The sequence below is a fragment of the Homo sapiens genome, chromosome 9 (assembly GCF_000001405.40).
Source record: "Homo sapiens chromosome 9, GRCh38.p14 Primary Assembly".
Taxonomy (NCBI): Eukaryota; Metazoa; Chordata; class Mammalia; order Primates; family Hominidae; genus Homo; species Homo sapiens.
The window spans coordinates 133401523-133419871 of record NC_000009.12 but is presented as its reverse complement, the minus strand read 5'-3'; the positions used below and the strand labels follow the sequence as shown (position 1 = coordinate 133419871).

Genomic DNA, 18349 nt, shown 5'->3' with positions numbered 1-18349 from the left:
AGCTACCCAGGAGGCTGAGGCAGGAGAATCGCTTGAACCCGGGAGGTGGAGATTGTGGTGAGCCGATATCACGCCACTGCACTCCAGCCTGGGCAGCAGAGCAAGACTCCGTCTCAAAACAAACAAAAAAAAAGAAAACCCTTTTCGGTGGACTTGCTGACAATCTCAGTGCCATATCTGGTTCCCATCTCTCTGTCCTCGTCCTTCTCAGCCTCTCAGCAGCATCTGATGTGGTTTATTCTCCCCCTGGATTCTCTGATGCCACTCACATCCGCTTCTCCTCCCACTGCACTGACTGCTCCCCCTCAGCCTCCTCTGCTGCTTCGCCCCTGGAGAGCCCCCAGCACCTGCTATCTGGTCTTAACCCTTCACTCCCTATATTGGTACTCTCTCTTTGGATGAACTAACCCAGGTTCATGTTTCAACACTAATTATGTGCTGACGATTTCCAAATTACATCTCCAGCACTGACCCTTCCCTAAGCTTAGGAATCTTATATCCTGCTGCTGATTAGACGTCTCTCCTTGGTGACTGACGGCCCGTTCAAACTCAGCAAGTGTGAAAAGGAGCTCATGGCTCCACCCCCATACTTCACCCTGCTCCCCGCAGACATTTATTGAGATGATAAATGGCCACACCCAATTGCTCAGACCAAAATCCTAGGAGCCTCACTTCCCTGTTACTCCATCAACCTCTGCCTGTTACACACGCACATCAAATCTACCCACTCCCGGCCGGGCACGGTGGCTCACACCTGTAATCCCAGCGCTTTGGGAGGCCGAGGCGGATGGATCACTGGAGGTCAGGAGTTCAAGACAGCCTGGCCAACGTGGCGAAACCCCAGGTCTACTAAAAATACAAAAATTGGCAGAGAGTGGTGGCGTGCACCTATAGTCCCAGCTACTCAGGAGGCTGAGGCAGGAGAATCGCTTGAACCCAGGCGGCAGAAGTAAGGGAGGAGACCACCCCTCATATTGTCTTATGCCCAATTTCTGCTTCCAAATAAAGAAGTAAAAACTAAAAGGCAGAAATAAAATCCACAGGCAGACAGCCCGGCGCCGCGCCCTGGGCCTGGTTAAAGATCAATCCTTGACCTAACCGGTTATGTTATCTATAGATTTCAGACATTGTATGGAAAAGCATTGTGAAAATCCCTGTCCTGTTCTGTTGCGTTCTGATTACCGGTGCATGCAGCCCCCAGTCACGTACCCCCTGCTTGCTCAATCGATCACGACCCTCTCACACAGACCCCCTTAGGGTTGTAAGCCCTTAAAAGGGACAGGAATTGCTCACTCAGAGAGCTCGGTTTTTGGAGACGTGAGTCTGCCGATGCTCCCCACTAAATAAAGCCCTTTCCTTCTACAATTCGGTGTCTGAGGGGTTCTTGTCTGCGGCTCGTCCTGCTACAGAGTGAACTGGCAGGAACTCCTCCCGGTGCCTGGGCCTCAGTTTCCCCACTGTACGTGGAAGATGAGCCGCTGTGAGGCTGAGCAAGGAGCAGCCCAAGGCGGGAAAGGCTCGAGAGTCCAGGACGCAGGCGAGCGACCTAGCCCGGCTCTCACTAGCCCCACCGCCCAGTGCCCCCAGCTCAGCTGCCCTACCAGGTGCTACACACACAGCGGCCCCCCAGTTCCCTTCCGGCGTTCGCATCTCTCATCCCCATCCCGGATCTTGGGGAGGTCCTCGGCTTGCCCCAGTCAAACTCGAGGTCGATGACCCCGGATGCCGCTGGCTAAGGCGGCGGCCCAAGTCCCGTGCGGGTGAACCGCCCAGGCTGCGCGGAACCAGAGGCAGGGATCCGGTTTCCAGCCGGTTGTGGAGAGACGAGCGCTTCCGGGGACTGGAGCGTGCGTGCTGAGGTATGCGCAACGCGTGCGGGGTCTCTTCCGGAGTCTTTTCCTGGACGGGGTCCCTGCGGTGGGTGTGTTTCGGCCTGGCCTGGGCAGGCGCTTGTGCTGCCAGGGCGCCGGGCCCGGGGAGGCCGGGGTCTCGGGTGGCCGCCGGCCCAGGCGCTGGACGGCAGCAGGATGGGGAAGGCGAAGGTCCCCGCCTCCAAGCGCGCCCCGAGCAGCCCCGTGGCTAAGCCGGGTCCTGTCAAGACGCTCACTCGGAAGAAAAACAAGAAGAAAAAAAGGTTTTGGAAAAGCAAGGCGCGGGAAGTAAGCAAGAAGCCAGCAAGCGGCCCCGGTGCTGTGGTGCGACCTCCAAAGGCACCAGAAGACTTTTCTCAAAACTGGAAGGCGCTGCAAGAGGTGAGGCTTGAGGGGGCCCGGGCGGAGCGCTGCGCAGCTCATTCCCGCAGAACGCGACGGAGGGAAAGACTTGGGTAGCCCCAAAAGACCTGTAAAGGCAGATTTGAATCGAAATCTTGTAAACAGCTTTTCACAAGAAAGGTGGCCTGTTGAGGGAGGTCTCGAACTTGTTTGCTTGAAAGAAATTGATGAAAGAATTATTTCAAGTACAAAAAAGCAAAGATAAACCCTTGTACCTTTTGCATAATGAACTAACTAGAATGGATTTTACAAAGAGAAATTTAGCTTAAAATCCCGAAACCAGGCCGGGCGCGGGGCCTCACGCCTGTGATCCCAGCACTTTGGGAGGCCGAGGCGGGCAGATCCCCTGAGGTCAAGAGTTCAAGACCAGCCCGGCCAACATGGTGAAACCCCGTGTCTACTAAAAAAGTACAAAAAATATTAGCCGGGCGTGATGGCGCGCGCCGGTAGTCGCAGCTACTCGGGGAGCCTGAGGCAGAAGAATCGCTTGAACCCGGGAGGCAGAGGCAGTAGTAAGCCGAAATCGCGCCACTGCACTCCAGCCTGGGCGACAGAGCGAGACTCCATCTCAAACAACAACAACGAAAGAACACACTGGTCTGTGTAGCAAGACAGGGAGAAAGAAGATTCCTGTGTAGAAGTGAAAAGCAGATAGCAGACATGTGATGGGGTTCTAGCGACACTTACGGTCTTGAAGTAAATACTAATTGAGCTCCTAAAAATGTGCACTCTGCCATGTGCTCTATGCCATGCGTGTTGCAATCCCCACAATAAGACTGTGAGGTGGACACTTCCATCATCGCTATTGTACAGATGAGGAAATAGGCTGGAAAAGTTTAAATAGATCATCTAAGATTGCGGCTGGGAACCAGGTGGCTGACTCTGGAGTCCATGCTTTTAAGGCTGTGTTGTACCTGCTGTCTCCCTAGTGACCTGCACTTCTGTAGAGGTTGCCTGCTCTCTCCTAGACACTCTTCCACGTGCGTCACTCATACATTCTTACCACATCCCTTGGAGCTCCCTTGGAGCTACCTCCTGTTAGGATCATAGCTCACTGCTGCCTGGGCTCCAGTGATTCTCCTGCCTCAGCCTCCCGAGTAGCCCACACGTGTAATCCCAGCACTTTGGGAGGCCCAGGCAGGAGGATCACTTGAGCTCAGGAGTTCAAGTCCAGCCTGGGCAACATGGTGAGATTCCATCTCTAAATAAAAGTAAAAAGTAGTTTTTTTAAAAAAGAAATGTGATCCCCAGTGGTGGAGATGGGGCCCATAGGAGGTATTGGGTCATGGGGGTAGATCCCTCATGAATGACTTGGTGCCCTCCCCTCAGTAACGAGTAAGTTCTCACTCTGCTGGTTCATTTGAGAGCTGGTTGTTTAAAAAGAGCCTAGCACCTTTTTTGCTTGCTCTCTCACCACGCAACACACCTGCTCCCCCTTCACCTTACACCATGATGGGAAGCTTCCTTCGGCCTCACCAGAAGCAGATGCTGGCACCATGCTTCTTGTACAACCTGCAAAACCATGAGCTACATAAACGTTTTTTCTTTATAAATTACCAAACACAGGTATTCCTTTATAGCAGTGCACAATGAACTAATACAGATGGGGTTTCACTTTGTTGCCCAGGCTGGTCTTCAACTCCTGACCTCAAGCAATCCTCCCACCTCAGCCTCCCCGAGCGCTTCTTGAACCTCCTAATACTCTGCACAGTATCTCAGTGCAGACATTCCTGTCTTAACACACAGGACCAGTCAAATTCCCGTGGGCAGCCCCAGGGTTCTGTGGGATTTCTTGAACACCAACTCTTCTTCCTTCTCCCAAGAAAGAAAAGCAAAATAAGTGAATGGAAGGGATGTGTGCTATAGGGAAACTTTGGAGTGTTTTCTAATTCATCCAAGAAAGTCAGCCCTTCAGTTCTTTACCTATCACAGAACAGGTAAGTAGCACCCGCCTCATCATCGCACTGTGGTGGCGCCCACTCCCACTGGGGATTTGAACACAGGGAGGAAGCTGGGCTCTAAGACTACAGGAGCCTCTGCTTGGGTGACAGCCAAGGTGTGTGGCTGCTAGCAGTTCTTCAGCCACTCCAGTTTGACAGAAGCTTTTCTTTTCATTTATGACACCCCCCACCTTCCTGAGATCTTCACAGCAGTAGCAAACCAGGGAATCTTGTAAAAAAAAAAAAAGCGATTTCTGTGTAGCAGGATGTTGGCCCAAGCTGTGAGGGAAGTTAACTCCAAAATTCTTTCTAGATAAGCTGAAAAGGGAAGTGGTCTGTGGTGTCCAGCCACTCAACAGGTACCCAAGGTGTAGAATGAGTTTGACATTTTGTATGCATGAAGGAGCAGGTGCAAAATGCATTATAATAAGATAAGCAAAGAAACAGCATTTCACCACAAGTGACCCATGAGAATGAAAAAGAGCTTTTTCCAAACCGTTTGAAAATGAATTTCAGTGATGCGGATGGGAATTGTATAGATGTGTTTGGTGTATATGTGTGTATATACATACACACGTAAGTTTTTTCAATCTGCTGTGTGTAATTTCCAAATTCAAATGCAGCATGTATTTTATTTTGGGTCCCAGTGGCTGCTGAAACAAAAATCTCAGGCCCCAGAAAAGCCTCTTGTCATCTCTCAGATGGGTTCCAAAAAGAAGCCCAAAATTATCCAGCAAAACAAAAAAGAGACCTCGCCTCAAGTGAAGGGAGAGGAGATGCCGGCAGGAAAAGACCAGGAGGCCAGCAGGGGCTCTGTTCCTTCAGGTTCCAAGATGGACAGGAGGGCGCCAGTACCTCGCACCAAGGCCAGTGGAACAGAGCACAATAAGAAAGGAACCAAGGAAAGGACAAATGGTGATATTGTTCCAGAACGAGGGGACATCGAGCATAAGAAGCGGAAAGCTAAGGAGGCAGCCCCAGCCCCACCCACCGAGTAAGTATGGGCCACCTCACCACTGAGAACCGAGGCACAGCGACTTCACCAAGGCCTGTCTCCTTATGGAGGCTGGTGGCCTCACCGCAGTCTCTCCATCACTTTACCCTGATGTCGTCTGTTCCTTTGTTTACTCGCTGTTACTTGTTTTCCCCTAGAGTGTGCGCATGATAAGGCAGGGCCTGCTTCTTCCGAGCGTTGAGCAGAGCTCAGCATTTAGTGGGTGCCAGTACACGTGTGTGGAAGGAAAGCGTGCTGAAGCCAGAAAGACCCAAGTATGAGGCCTGTCCCTGCTTCTCGCCAGTTGGGTGGTTTGGGGCAAGTTTCTGACGTCCTCTGTGCCTTGTGGTAGTCATGGTGGCATCATAAGGAGATTGTGAGGTTGGCACTCTTGGCTCAGTGCCTGGTGATTACTTCAACCCTGTGATGGAGCCAGGTGTGGTGGCTGTTGCCTGTGATCCCAGCTCCTTGGGAGGCCAAGGTGGGAGGATCACTTGATCCCAGGAGGTTGAGGCTGCAGTGAGCTGTGATTGCACTACTGCCTCCAGCCTGGGTGACGGAGCAAGACTCTCAAAAAAACAAGTGAAAAGAATAAACCCTGTGCTGGCCACCCACGTGGGGTGGACCGGGAGTCAGTGGCCTTCTCTGAATGGTTCAGCTGGAGGTGACGTGTTCATAAGTTACAGCTGGCTTCATGTTGCCTGGGTGTTCAGGACACAGTCGCTGATGGCTGAGGAATGAGCCATTTGGGGGCCTCCCTGTGTTGTGCTAGGCAGGCTGTCTGGGATAGAGTTCAGTGAGGTGGGCCTGCTCCTCCCTCTTGAGGCTTATTGTCAAGTGCAGTAGACAGACTGTAAACTGCAGCTGTTGATTAAGTGTGGTCAGGATAAATCTAGTGAGGAGAAGGTATTGGGCGCCTGGAACAAGAGGGACGTGTCCATTCAGTGGGGCCAGGAATGGCTTTTCTAAGGAAATGACATTTAACCTTAGCCCAAGAGACAGATTCCCCAGGCAGGTGTTACGTGCCTGTGTGAGCTTCCTAGTACGGAGGGCAAGGGGTTCTGTGTTTCCATCTTACAGGCATTCTGTCTGTCTGTTTCCTAAGTGTTCAATAATGAACGTGTTACCTTCATAATTAAAATGTTAGCACTCATTACACTTGGGTGGTGGGTTATGTGTTTCTGTTTTATATTCTTTGTGTTTGTCTGTGTTCCTAAATCTTGAATAATGAGTGTATTTTCTAATTAAAAAGAAAAGAGATGAGGCCAGGTGCTGTGACTCACACCTGTAATCCCAGCTCTTTGGGAGGCCGAGGCAGGTGGATCACTTGAGGTCAGGAGTTCAAGACCAGCCTGGCCAACATGACGAAACCCCGTATCTACTGAAAATACAAAAAATTAGCCAGGCGTGGCAGTGGGCGCCTGTAAAATCCCAGCTACTAGGGAGGCTGAGACAAGAGAATCACTTGAACCTGGGAGGCAAAGGTTGCAGTGAGCCAAGATCATGCCACTGCACTCCAGGTTGGGTGACCCAGTGAGACTCCATCTCAAAAAAAAAAGGAAAATGCCAAGATGATCAAAATAGCAGAAGCAGCAGGGCCAGCAGTCGGGGTGTCTGGGGCCAGCCTGTGGGAGAGGCAGGCTGTGCCATCGCTCCACTCACCTGCACAGTCAGCCCCACAGCCCCACCCCACCAGTTGCACTAGGGTCTTCTGGTGATCAGCCTGTTATCTTTGCCTTTTAGGGAAGACATCTGGTTTGACGACGTGGACCCAGCGGATATCGAAGCTGCCATAGGTCCAGAGGCGGCCAAGATAGCGAGGAAACAGTTGGGTCAGAGCGAGGGCAGCGTCAGCCTCAGCCTCGTGAAAGAGCAGGCCTTCGGCGGGTACGCTGGTCTCAGGGAGTGGGGTCTGCTGGGGATGCTTAGCCGTGGAGGGCGGGGCTTCTTCAAGGAAGAGGATGCTTTCCTCTCCCTGAGGTGAATGAGGCAAGCACCTCCCAGGGTCCTGCTAAGAACCAGGACCACACAGAGCTTGTCACGTGGGTGCAAATGAGTGAGGGGCAGAGAGCTTTTCTCTGCTGACACTTAGTCCATGGATCCCTGGGGCTCTGACCTGGAGCCCTGTGGCCTGCCGTGTTTATTAAACTACAGCCTTTGGTTACCCTTCAGCCTGACAAGAGCCTTAGCCTTGGACTGTGAGATGGTGGGCGTGGGCCCTAAGGGGGAGGAGAGCATGGCCGCCCGTGTGTCCATCGTGAACCAGTATGGGAAGTGCGTTTATGACAAGTACGTCAAACCAACCGAGCCCGTGACGGACTATAGGACAGCGGTCAGTGGGATTCGGCCTGAGAACCTCAAGCAGGGTATGTCATCCACAGCTCAGGAACTTAGAAGGGAAAGTAGTAACTGGATTCGTTTTCTCCCTTTTGTTCCCTTTTCTGTCTGAGACCACTCACTGCAGCTGGTTTTGATGCGTCTTGTCTCCTTTTGGGGCGATGGGTTTTAAAATACAAAAGGCATCCTTAGACGGCTTTACACCCATTTATGCCTTGCACTTCATTGCCTCCTGTCCGCTGACTTCAAGACCAGGCCAGTAGCTGGGCACGGTGGCTCATGCCTGTAGTCCCAGCTACTCAGGAGGCTGAGGAGGGAGGATTGCTTGAACCCAGGAGTTCAAGTCCAGCCTGGACAACATAGCGAGACCTCATTTCTAAAAAAAATTATTATTTTTTTTTGAGATGGAGTTTTGCTCTTGTTGCCCAGGCTGAAGTGCAATGGCACAATCTGGGCTCACTGCAACCTCCGCCTCCTGGGTTCAAGCGATTCTCCTGCCTCAGCCTCCCGAGTAGCTGGGATTACAGGCATATGCCACCACACCCGACTAATTTTGTATTTTAAGTAGAGACAGGGTTTCTCCACATTGGTCAGGCTGGTCTTGAACTCCCGAACTCAGGTGATCCGCCTGCCTCCGCCTCCCAAAGTGCTGGAATTACAGGCATGACCCACTGCACCTGGCCTTCTAAAAAATATTTTTAAAAAATTAGCTGGTCCCACTTGGCTCGGGCCACCCTTGGTCTAATCACCCCTGTTCGGGGGGTACAAGTGGGGTTGGTGGTGGGGTGGTCCCCAGAAGCAGGCAAGGCTGCCTCTGGAGCCCAGGGCCTAGGGCAACACATCTCTACCCATTTTTGTGGGGGCAGTTTTGTTTTTATTTCCATTTGGGAAATTGTCAAGTAAATCATGAGGTTGAATAGGCAGAACCACGCTGCCAGGCGGCTCTAAAAGTTTCTCAGTGCCTACACTCAACATATGCTCTCCTCCAGCCATGAGCCGACTTTGCAGACTGTGTGGAGCACTTTATTCCTCTCCTCAGAGGTGGTTCTCGCAGCCACCCCTGCCAGGGGCCCACAAGGCACTTCTCCCAGGGGGGTGGGTGGATGTGGTGGCTTCGAGTCACCCTCCGTAGTGGCATTGCAGGCCTGACCATTTGTCTTAGGTCTGACCAGGGGTAGGAGCGGGGCTGCCTCCTCACAGAATGATGGTGATGTGTGTGTTGCAAAAAACCGCTTCTTTGTGTTGATTTTCCAGGAGAAGAGCTTGAAGTTGTTCAGAAGGAAGTGGCAGAGATGCTGAAGGGCAGAATTCTAGTGGGGCACGCTCTGCATAATGACCTAAAGGTACTGGGCTCTCTCCTGGGGACTCAGCCTGCCCCTGCTCCGTGGGTGTTACACTCACGCCCTTGCTGTGTTGGGGAGTTTTAACAATGTGTGGGTTTGTGCTCTATGTTGGGAATACTTTGGTAATAATATCAGATACCGCGTGCTGAGTTCTTACTGTGTTTTAGGAGCCATGCCAGGCTCTTGTTTTGAGAGCCCCCAGCGAAACTGGGGTACCCATACCAGAGCAGCTGGCAACCCCGCCCTAATGAGAAATGAAGGTGCTGATACCCCTTTTACCTGGAGGAAGGCCTAATGTCCAGTTGTCCCATCCGTGACCAGGGTCCCTCCACAGGAAACAAGTTTATCCTGGCAGATGCCCTGTGGCCCATGTTCAGGTTACGCTTGCCTAACCATCACCCTGGCCCTGGGAGCTTGCCTTTGCCTTCTTTCTGGCGTCCCGAGGAAAATCCCGCCTGGGGCAGCCCCTGGTTCTTCAGATGGAAAGTGCAAATTCAGACACCACCACCGTGGGAAACAAGTTCAAAGACATATACAGACCCTGGGCAGGGAAGGCGTCATGGGTGGGGAGGGCAGCCTGCCATCTCCTGGTCACCCGAGGCAGGAATGAAGAGTCAGGCAGAGCGAGTACGTGTGTATTTACAGGAGAACAGGGTGGGGGTCACTTTGAGTTTATGGGCAAATGCCTGGATGTTGGTTTAAAGGACACAGTGGGAACAGCGGGGAGGCCAGTCTGCTAGATGGGAGAGACACTTAAGTTGTCACCTCTGCCCACCGGCTTGAAGCACTTGGGTGTGGTGAGGAACTTGAAGCCGTTCAGAAGGAAGTGACAGAGATGCTAATGTTCAGGCAGCAGCCTTTGCTATGGTGCTCCCGTGACGGCACTGTAGAGATCCCTTGAATCCATTGAAGATGCTGGAGGTGTTCATGCTTGTTTACAGAGGGTGAAACTGAGGTGAGAACCCCCCGGGCAGTGTCCTCACAGAAAGGTCTTCTGTGTGCTCCTGCTGTACCCCCTCAGAGACTGCTGCCGTGGGGACTCGTCCTTCCCTCCTGACTCTGACTCCATCCCTGGCACCTTGCGCAGCACATGTTCAAGTCTTTCTTGAAGATGATGCTAAGGACCAGACACAGTGGCTTATGCCTGTAATCGCAGCTTTTTGGGAGGCTGAGGCTGGAGGATTGCTTGAGGCCGGGAGTTAGAGACCAGCCTGAGTAACATAGGGGAGACCCCATCTCTATAAAAAATTTTAAAATTAGCCAGGTGTGGTGGCGTGTGCCTGTTGTCCCAGCTACTCAGGAGACTGGGGTAGGAGGATCAGTTGAGCCCAGGAGGTTAAGGCTGCAGTGAGCCATGATTACCCTATAGCACTGCAGCCCAGGTGACAGAGTGAGATCCTATCAAAAAACAAAACAAAACAAAAAATTGCATGCTAAGATTGCAAGATGAGCTGTTAAAATGTGTTATTTGCAACTTCCTGATGTGTAGAACCAACTCAAAATACAAGTATAATATAGGAATAAGTTGGTTGCTGGTTAACTGTTGACTGTTTTTCTCCTACTTCCTTGATTTCAAGATTTTGTTTTTATTGTCTCTGACTGTTGGGCATCAGCTTAAGTCAGTGCAATAAATTTCCTTCTGGAGTTGAAATTCATATCAGTGCCTTGTTTCCATGTGTGTGTGACACACTTGGATTCCCTACAAGATGTTACTTGCAGGGCAGCCGCGTTGGCTCACACCTGTAATCCCAGCACTTTGGGAGGCCGAGGCGGGTGGATCACCTGAGGTCAGGAGTTCGAGACCAGCCTGGCCAACATGGCAAAACCCTGTCTCTACTAAAAAATACAAAAATTAGCCAGGCATGGTGGCGGGCACTTGTAATCCCAGCTACTCGGGAGGCTGAGGCAGGAGAATCACTTGAAACCTGGGGTCGGAGGTTGCAGTCAGCAAAGATTGAGCCACTGCATTCCAGCCTGGGTGACAGAGCAAGACTCCGTCACACACACACACACACACACACACACACACACACACACACACACACACACAAAGATGTTACTTGCAAAAGGTGGCGGGGGGAGGGGGTTCTGCTACTACAAACCAAAAATGAAAATGATTATCATTATATTTTATTTTTCTAGGTACTATTTCTTGATCATCCAAAAAAGAAGATTCGGGACACACAGAAATATAAACCTTTCAAGAGTCAAGTAAAGGTACTTAGAATGAGTGTGACTCAAGATACTGTATTTCTGTTTTGCTGGTCACTTCATTGTTTCTGGTCACTGGTGGCTGACTTGTTGGTTAAAGGGTTTTTGTTTTTTCTTTTAACCTTTAAAACTAGAAGGAATGTTTAAAAATAGAGTTCTGCTAATTGCTGACCTTAAAAATGATTGCAACGGAGGGCAAGTTATTTCCACTCTAACCTCTGAAACAGGGTCACTGACTAAGGGCCTGGTACCACTGTCGTATCTGCTCTAGAGGGTGCCAAGGGCAGAGCCGTTCTTCATCCTTTTTTTTTTTTTTAGACAGGGTCTTGCTCTGTCACCCAGGCTGGAGTGCAATGGCATAATCTTGGCTCACTGTAACTGCCACCTCCCAGGCTCAGGCAATCCTTCCACCTTAGCCTCTGAAGTAGCTGGGACTGCAGGCATATGCCACCACCCCTGGCTAATTTTTTTATTTTTATTTTTTTAGAGATAGGGTCTTGCTGTGTTGCCCTGGCTATTCTCAAACTCCTGGGTTCAAGTGATCTGCCCTCGTTGGCCTCCTAAGTGCTGAGATTACAGGTGTGAACCACCATGCCTGGCCAGAGCTGTCCCTCTTGAAATAAGCAGGGAGGCCTCAAGATGGGAGATGGGGATGCTGACTCCTCCCCTGGCCCTCTCCTTTTATTGGCTGATAGGGGTGTATCACCAGCCCATCATGCTATAAATGGCAGCTGGTGGCTACCACCCTAAGTGCCATGAGCACCTCTCCACTGAGAGGCAAACTGTAGGTCGCTTGGGTGAGGTTCAGTAGCCAACCGCTCCCTGCTTGGTGGGGTGACCCTCTTTGGGCCGAGCCTGCAGAGGCCCCCACCCGCCTCTTCCCCCTTTGCAGAGTGGAAGGCCGTCTCTGAGACTACTTTCAGAGAAGATCCTTGGGCTCCAGGTCCAGCAGGCGGAGCACTGTTCAGTAAGTGTGTCCTGTGGGGTAGTTCATGGGGTTTGGGGCGGTTTCCCACCTGGAACCAGACATGAGTCACCTGACACAGACATGGGGGAGGTGGGGCTTGGGCACCTACTTATCCTACGAGGCTATTGGTCAAAAAAAAAAAATGGTAGAGCGGAGTTACGGAATTTTGGTTAAATTCTAAATATGCACATTTAACGAATTTAACACTTAACACAAAAGTACTGCATTCTCGTTATTTGGAGAAAAAGTTGCCAAATAATTACAAAGGGTCCCCCCACCCCCGCAGCCCTCCAGCCCTGCCCTGCCCGGCCCTGCTGAGCAGCTGGCTCTGCCTCTGTGGAGCAGTCACCCCCTGCCAACGTGGCCTCAGTGCTTTGGGCCCTTTTTGCCCATCTGCTTGGTCCTTGTGCCCCTGTGCCCAGCACCCAACCTGCCATCACCCTGCACTCAGAGACCTAAAAAGGCAGCGTGTTTGTTGCTTCTCCTCTTTGGGTTTCCCTTTCTTCTCCTGGGAGGGGTGTCTGAGTCACAGAAGTGTGGGGACCATCAGGTCGTTGCTCCCTCTGCTTCTCTTGTGTCCTCCCTCCCCGTCCTGGTGACATCTCGTGGCCAGGTCCATGTCTCACTCAGTACATCTGTAGCAGAGTGGCTAGTGGGAGGGCTCAGTCATTGTGGGGTTGACTGTGGGCTGCGGCTATGCCTCGTCACCTGCTGGGATGTTTCATGTCGTCTAGATTCAGGATGCCCAGGCAGCAATGAGGCTGTACGTCATGGTGAAGAAGGAGTGGGAGAGCATGGCCCGAGACAGGCGCCCCCTGCTGACTGCTCCAGACCACTGCAGTGACGACGCCTAGCAGTCCTGCCCTGCTGCTGCTGCCGCCCCGCTACAGAGGCAATGTGACCAGTCACAGGGACAGATCACATCTCCCCAGAGTGGCAACTCTGGTGAAACCTTTTCAGAATCATGGCAGAGGGGCGTGGCGTGGTGCTACTGAGAAGGTCCTCCTTCCTCTTGACTTTGTGGTCTGAAACCTGGTCTTACTGTCCATGTGTGTTTGGGCCCGGATGGTCAGGGTGGGGAGCAGGGACGGCCATGGGCACGCCTGGCCACGCTTTACCGACTGCTGACCCCCTGGGCCAGGTGAGGTTGGGGCCTGTGGGCCGCCAGTCCATACGGTGCTGTCACTGCCCATCTTCGGTGACACCCTGGGGTGAGGTGCTCAGCACCTTCCTCTCGAGGAGCCACATTTTCCTCCTTTGTGTTAGGGGACATAACAAGCTCTGCTGGGCTTGAGGGACCCAGACCAGGTGTCTGCAGTCAGCTCCTGAGACACAGCTGGCCGGCACAACAGGTGTTACATCAGGGGTTTCCTGTGGCCGTTTGAACTTTGAGCATTTATCTAAATTAAATTGGCCCAGGGTTGGCTGGTGGGTCACCCAGCAGAGGCTTCTCCCCATAGCACGAGGATGTGTTGCCTGGGCACGGTGACTGCGGTTATTCCTGGAGGTCGGCAGACATGCCAACCTTGGGCTATTTGAGCTGGAGAAGCTATGTGATGCTAGCCGGTGGCTTTCTGGGCTAGGCCCCAGTTTGAGGCTCCCCTGGGAACTAGAGCCAGGAACAGCCAGTGGCACTGACAAGGGGACGGAGTCCAAGGCGTTATTGGGCCACCTGACAGCTGGACAGAAAAGGGGCAGACACACCGAGGATGCGATTTAAAATAAATGCAGATGTTTACTTGGAATGGAGCCTGTGGAGGCTCAGTGTTGACTCTCATCTAGAATGGTCTGGAAGGACTGCTCTGTCCAGGGGCGAGGTCTATAGAGACTGCAGAATTAAGTATCCCACTGGCCAGTCACAGCCTCTTGCCAGAAATGATTAAGGCAGAAACTGGCCTTGGGCCTCTTTATTAGTCACCTAAGAGGAGTGTGAGATGCGCATTCTGGTGCTGGATGACCCTTCCCCCCACCCCAAGGGAAACAGTGGCCCATGGAAAGGAAGGACAGGGAGAGGGCACACGTGGAGGGAGGGGCCTGTGGGGTATCTGTCTTCTCCCCCGCATCAGGGCTGAGCTGCTTCCCCACCCAGTGGGCTGGGAGAGGTGGCTGCCTCCAGCCTCAAGAGCACTTTTTCCGCGCAAGAAACCAGTTCCTGGAAGGAGGAAGCAGGCAAGTCAGTTTTCGTGGACAGTCCCCGGGTCCAGGAGCAGTTACTCATGTGACTCAATCCAGCAGTCATGGACAGGAAACTCTTTGGAGAGGTCTGATTACCCCTCCCGTTTAAGATTGATTTTGGCCCAGTCATAGAGATGGGATAATAGGCAGGCAGGAGAGCAGTCTTGAAAACTATACACGTGGAGATCAAGGTCAGTTCCATACAAACATCTATTCCAGTCCCCCAGACGTGGTGCACCCCAGCTGGGGGCTTCCACCTGGAGGGAGGCCTGGTTTGCTGAAGGCGCTGCTGTCACTCACCAGGCTGGAGGTGAAGCGCTCCTTGATCTCCTGGAGCAGGGCCTTCATACTACTGGACACCAGCTCCGGCAGGATCTCCTCTGCAGGTGGAGCAGGAAGGTCCTGAGGCCAGAGTCCTTCCTGTGCCCCTTGCCAGAAGCCCCAGAAGGATGAGAGTGGGTCACATTCCCCCTTGGGCTTGGCATGCACAGAGCCACCTTGCAGTTCCGGAGCCCCAAGCGTCACCCTCAGCCAGGACAACCCCTGGTGCTCAGAAGATGCCAAATGAGTGGGAAGTTTAAGTGGGCCGAGAAGTGGGGTTGAGCCCACCTTCCATGTGCTCCTTCCCTGTCAGTTATAGGGGGAGCGGGGCACCCCTGACCGCTGGGCTCTAGGGAGTGTGAGGTGAGAAGGGGTTCTCACCATAGGAAGCCAGGTGGACCAGCAGCATGCCCACGTTCTCCACCACCTCCGGGTCGTCCCTGTGGAGCTGGTAGGTCTCCTTGATGAGGCTGAGGCCACTGCCGCCCTCCTCCTGCACCACCACCTTGAAGGCCGCCAGCTCTGGGGGATGGGTGGGAGTGGGTTCATTCCCTGCTTTCCCCTGAAAGGGAAGAGCCTTCTGCCCAGGACGGGATGGGACCCCAGAGCTCACACAGGGGCCTGGGACAGGACAAGAGACGGGACCCAGGAGGCCCCATCAGCTTGGGCGGACCAGTAGGCTGGCATGACCTGAACAGGACCATGCAAGAACAGAGGAGGCAGCCCCCCCAGAGCCAAAGGGGTCGTTGTCACTCTGGGGAAGATTAGGTAGTACAGAGGTCAAGACCATGAGCCCGGAGTTGCCAGGCACCAGCTAGTGTCTTGGCCAGGCCCAGGATGCTCTCTGAAGGACTGTGCTGTGGGCCGAGCGTCGGTTGTGCTGTGCTCAGCGCTGGGCCCAGCCTGTCTAGCTGAGTAACAGGCAGGGTTTGTGTTGTGGGGAATTGGAGACACTGTTTGCAGAGCTGTTTTGATCAGTCACGGTGTGCCTGCATGTTAGGAAACCTGTGCAGATGTGATGTGTTTATGGACAGAGAGAGGGTCACAGGGTAGCATAACGCAGAGACAAGAGTTTATCAAGTGTGCGTGAAAGTCTTGATGGTGATTTCTGGATGACTGGACTTCAGATCGTTTTTAATTTCTTTTCCTTTTTGATTTGTTGCTTCTGTTTTTTGGTTTGTGGCACCTGGCAGATGTAACTGATGGGGGCTGATTCTTGCCCCCACCTCTAGGTGGCAGCCTCGTCCTGTCCCCAGGCTCACCTGACACCTTCACCAGGCTGGCCAGTCCCCGGTAGGCATTGTTCACCAGCAGGGCTCTGTCCTGGCACAGCCGGATGCTTTGCAGGAGCAGCGCCACCACTTGTTCAAACTGCTGCTCCTTGATGCAGCCTGCAGAAAGGGGCCGGGCTGCCTTGTGCCTGCTGTGCCATGAGGCCCACCCCTCCCAGCCCCAGGGGCCCAGGGCGCCCACCCAGCTCACCCAGCAGGGACAGCAGCCAGAAGACTCCGCAGCTGGCTTCTGCCATTTCCCCATCCGCAGGGTAGGTGGCCAACACCTGGCTGATGAGGTCCGGGACCTTCTCCAAGGGGGCCTTGTTCACAATGATACCTGGAACGAGGACAGGGATGGAAGGGGACACCCAGGCCTTGGGTGTGTGCAGGGGGGCCTTCCCATCCCCCATCTGCTGCCTTCCTCCAGCTAACGACAACAGCAGAAATGGGGTGGGAAAGGTCAACTGTCCTCAGAGACGGGTGCAGGGGTTAGCCCAGGAGAGGCTTGGAGAATCCCACACTTTGGGTGCTGGCAGGGTTCTTGGGTTTCCCGGGCTTTCCGTGGTTTGGAGCTCTCTTTTTCCTGGGGCGCTGGAGTGCCAAGATGGGGTCTAGAGGAGAGGAAGCAGCACAGGCCAGGGGGCCCCCTACTGTGAATCAAAAATCAAAACAAACAGGGCATCCAGCACCACACCACCGCTGCCCTCTGGAACCAGGACTGCCCGGAAAATCCCAGGACATTTCCCTGGGCAGGAGGCACTTAAAACTGAGGGGTCTGCCCACTGGGCAAGAAGTCCTGAAACCCGGCCTCTGCCAGAAGGCCTTTCTCCCCTGCCTTTTCTCTCTCTGCTCCTTGATTTTCTTCTGTTGGAGTTGGAAGCTCTCAGAAGAGCCTTTCCCGGACTATGGCTGTTGTGTTTTAGGGACAGGACATGGAGGTCCTCGAAGGCTCTCAGGGGCAGTTAGGGAGGGGCTGGGGGAGGGCTGCCAGCCCCGGTGGGACAGCAGGAGGAGGGCCCCTCACCGTCCAGCAGGAGGGCCCAGAGCAGGCCCAGGCCGCTGGCGCAGACGTCCCTGCTTTCGAGGGAGCTGTTGAGGTGCTCCAGGATGTGCTCCAGCAGCCCAGCATTCTGCAGCTCCTCTGACAGTGACTCTGACTCTGTGGGTGAGCCAGAATGAGGGCCCCAGGGCCCCTCCCTCCAGGAAGCCTTCCTGCCTCTGTTGTCCTTGGGCACTGCAGTCCCATTTGACCTGCAATCCTAGGTGCCTGCTCTGGGCCAAGTCGTGTGCACTCAATGGAGCCCTGAACAGGAGGATGTGGGACTGGCCCCAGAGGAGTCTGTCCATCTCGTGGGCCACCAGTCCCAATAGCTGCCATCCCACTACCAGGCTGGGTCTGACCTCTGTAGCTTCCCATCCAGGGGGCCTGACCCTGCCTCCTGGGCTCACAGAGCCAGCCTGTGCCTTCCAGGATGGAACCATGACGGGGCCCTATCCCGGTAGGATGAACTGACATCCATTTTGCCTGAGGGTTCCAGTTGACATCTATTCCTAGTGCCTCCTTTCACTCCCCAAAGTGAGATCAGCCATGTATCATCAGTTATCCAGTCTGTGCAGTAAAGAGGGTGCTGGGGCCCAGACCCCAGCCCTGAACCCTGCTGCATGGACTCCTGGCAACTGTCCTTAGGCTCTCTCGAGGCCCAGCTTCCTGTTGGGGAGAACAGTGCCCACCCGATTTGTGGGTGAAGGTGTGAGCGCTCTGTATGGCCCTCTCCTTCCCACAGTCCTGGCTGGAGGCTTCGGAAGCCCACTGGGCCCTATGGAATGGAGACACACAGGGCATTTGAGCCCCAGCCTCCCAGAAGGGGCAGGAAGTGTGGGAAAGAGATGTCATTGGTGTGAAGCCCACAGCTGCGCCTAGCATGTCTGTAGAGGGAACCAGTGACTTCAAGAGTGGAAGCTTGTCATCAAGATGGAAAAGGATGCGACCAGCATTTGGGGTGGCCAAATGAAGACGGCCAAATGCCACCATGTATCTCAGGAGGAGGCCCAGCACTGTCCTGTCCAACCCACCTATACCCCAAACCAACCCTTCCAAGACCCCTGGGAAGGGCTGTCCTGGAGCGTGGGTGGGGCAGGAGGTGGCTGGCAGACACACCCTGGGTTGTGGTGATGGCTAGCAGGCTGTAGACCATGACAAGAAGTGGCTCCTCCTCGGGGTGGCTCTGAAGAGCACTCAGCAGGGTGGAGGTGATGGCTTGGTTGCAGGGAGCCTTGGCTTCCGGGTGGTGCACCAGCGCTGCTCAAGCCAGAGGAAGACGCCTGGGGTTAGCCCCACAGCTCAGGCATGGGGCCAGACACACAAGGCTCACAGGCTGGGGGATAGCATCTCCACTTTGCATGAAGGAAACCGAGGTCTGCCTTGTTCTGACCCAGAGCAGGCCTCCATGAATCCCTGTGGCCTAATGGAGTGAAGGACCGGAAGGGAGCCCTGCCCGGCCAGGCCACGCATCC

The 18349-nt window shown here is 53.7% G+C and overlaps 3 protein-coding genes across 13 annotated transcripts in view, besides 4 other annotated features; 1 reads left to right on the top strand and 2 right to left on the bottom strand.

Moving 5' to 3' along the window:
* Window positions 1-5535, bottom strand: part of ADAMTS13 (ADAM metallopeptidase with thrombospondin type 1 motif 13) — a 45050-nt gene extending 39515 nt beyond the window's left edge. Inside the window, exon 1 of one of the 2 annotated variants that reach the window (NR_024514.3) lies at window positions 5228-5535. The gene's annotated coding sequence lies outside the window, so the exon portion shown is untranslated. Of the gene's footprint in view, window positions 1-1601; window positions 1793-5227 lie in introns of those variants that run through there. The other variant, XM_017014233.2, reaches the window with a different exon arrangement.
* Window positions 1548-1767: an enhancer, noted in NCBI's record as "active region_29238". NCBI's record gives its function as "activates an Ori minimal core promoter by ATAC-STARR-seq in GM12878 lymphoblastoid cells {active_cell/tissue: GM12878}" and the evidence as "EXISTENCE:reporter gene assay evidence [ECO:0000049][PMID:35858748]".
* Window positions 1700-13814, top strand: REXO4 (REX4 homolog, 3'-5' exonuclease). Of its 9 annotated transcripts, none has more exons than NM_001279351.1 (8): window positions 1700-1859; window positions 4861-5207; window positions 6951-7094; window positions 7380-7573; window positions 8799-8887; window positions 11030-11104; window positions 11991-12065; window positions 12800-13814. In NM_001279351.1, the coding sequence occupies exons 2-8, from the start codon at window positions 4915-4917 to the stop codon at window positions 12917-12919; spliced, it is 990 nt and encodes a 329-aa protein (NP_001266280.1). In that variant the 5' UTR covers window positions 1700-1859; window positions 4861-4914; the 3' UTR covers window positions 12920-13814. The 9 variants fall into 9 exon arrangements, 7 of the variants coding, with proteins under 7 accessions (NP_001266280.1, XP_024303380.1, XP_024303379.1 ...); XM_024447612.2 differs by lacking the exon at window positions 1700-1859 and adding an exon at window positions 1862-3253 and having other exon boundaries at window positions 5039-5207; XM_024447611.2 differs by lacking the exon at window positions 1700-1859 and adding an exon at window positions 1862-4210 and having other exon boundaries at window positions 5039-5207.
* Window positions 1878-2117: a silencer, noted in NCBI's record as "silent region_20457". NCBI's record gives its function as "represses an Ori minimal core promoter by ATAC-STARR-seq in GM12878 lymphoblastoid cells {active_cell/tissue: GM12878}" and the evidence as "EXISTENCE:reporter gene assay evidence [ECO:0000049][PMID:35858748]".
* STKLD1 (serine/threonine kinase like domain containing 1) overlaps window positions 13776-18349 on the bottom strand; it is a 29731-nt gene continuing 25157 nt past the window's right edge. Inside the window, exons 13-18 of one of the 2 annotated variants that reach the window (NM_153710.5) lie at window positions 17994-18134; window positions 16860-16994; window positions 16044-16172; window positions 15824-15952; window positions 14943-15083; window positions 13776-14620 (exon numbers count right to left, since the gene is read on the bottom strand). In NM_153710.5, coding sequence (NP_714921.4) covers window positions 14451-14620; window positions 14943-15083; window positions 15824-15952; window positions 16044-16172; window positions 16860-16994; window positions 17994-18134 — 845 coding nt within the window. In that variant the 3' untranslated portion in view covers window positions 13776-14450. The remainder of the gene's footprint in view (window positions 14621-14942; window positions 15084-15823; window positions 15953-16043; window positions 16173-16859; window positions 16995-17993; window positions 18135-18349) is intronic. The other variant, NR_103997.2, reaches the window with a different exon arrangement.
* Window positions 14754-15254: an enhancer, noted in NCBI's record as "H3K4me1 hESC enhancer chr9:136269742-136270242 (GRCh37/hg19 assembly coordinates)". NCBI's record gives its function as "activates a minimal SCP1, AML or CMV promoter by ChIP-STARR-seq in primed H9 embryonic stem cells {active_cell/tissue: H9 hESC(primed)}" and the evidence as "EXISTENCE:reporter gene assay evidence [ECO:0000049][PMID:30033119]".
* Window positions 16995-17162: a silencer, noted in NCBI's record as "fragment chr9:136267839-136268006 (GRCh37/hg19 assembly coordinates)". NCBI's record gives its function as "represses an EF-1alpha promoter that drives an FKBP-Casp9 reporter gene in an ReSE screen in HepG2 liver carcinoma cells {active_cell/tissue: HepG2}" and the evidence as "EXISTENCE:reporter gene assay evidence [ECO:0000049][PMID:32094911]".

Bases quoted from the DNA above. Each gene is read 5' to 3' on its own strand.
- REXO4 (NM_020385.4), top strand. From the start codon at position 2,028: ATGGGGAAGGCGAAGGTCCCCGCCTCCAAGCGCGCCCCGAGCAGCCCC. The intron at 7,095-7,379 runs GTACGCTGGTCT...GTTACCCTTCAG, and splicing joins AAAGAGCAGGCCTTCGGCGG to CCTGACAAGAGCCTTAGCCT. The intron at 7,574-8,798 runs GTATGTCATCCA...TTGATTTTCCAG, and splicing joins GCCTGAGAACCTCAAGCAGG to GAGAAGAGCTTGAAGTTGTT.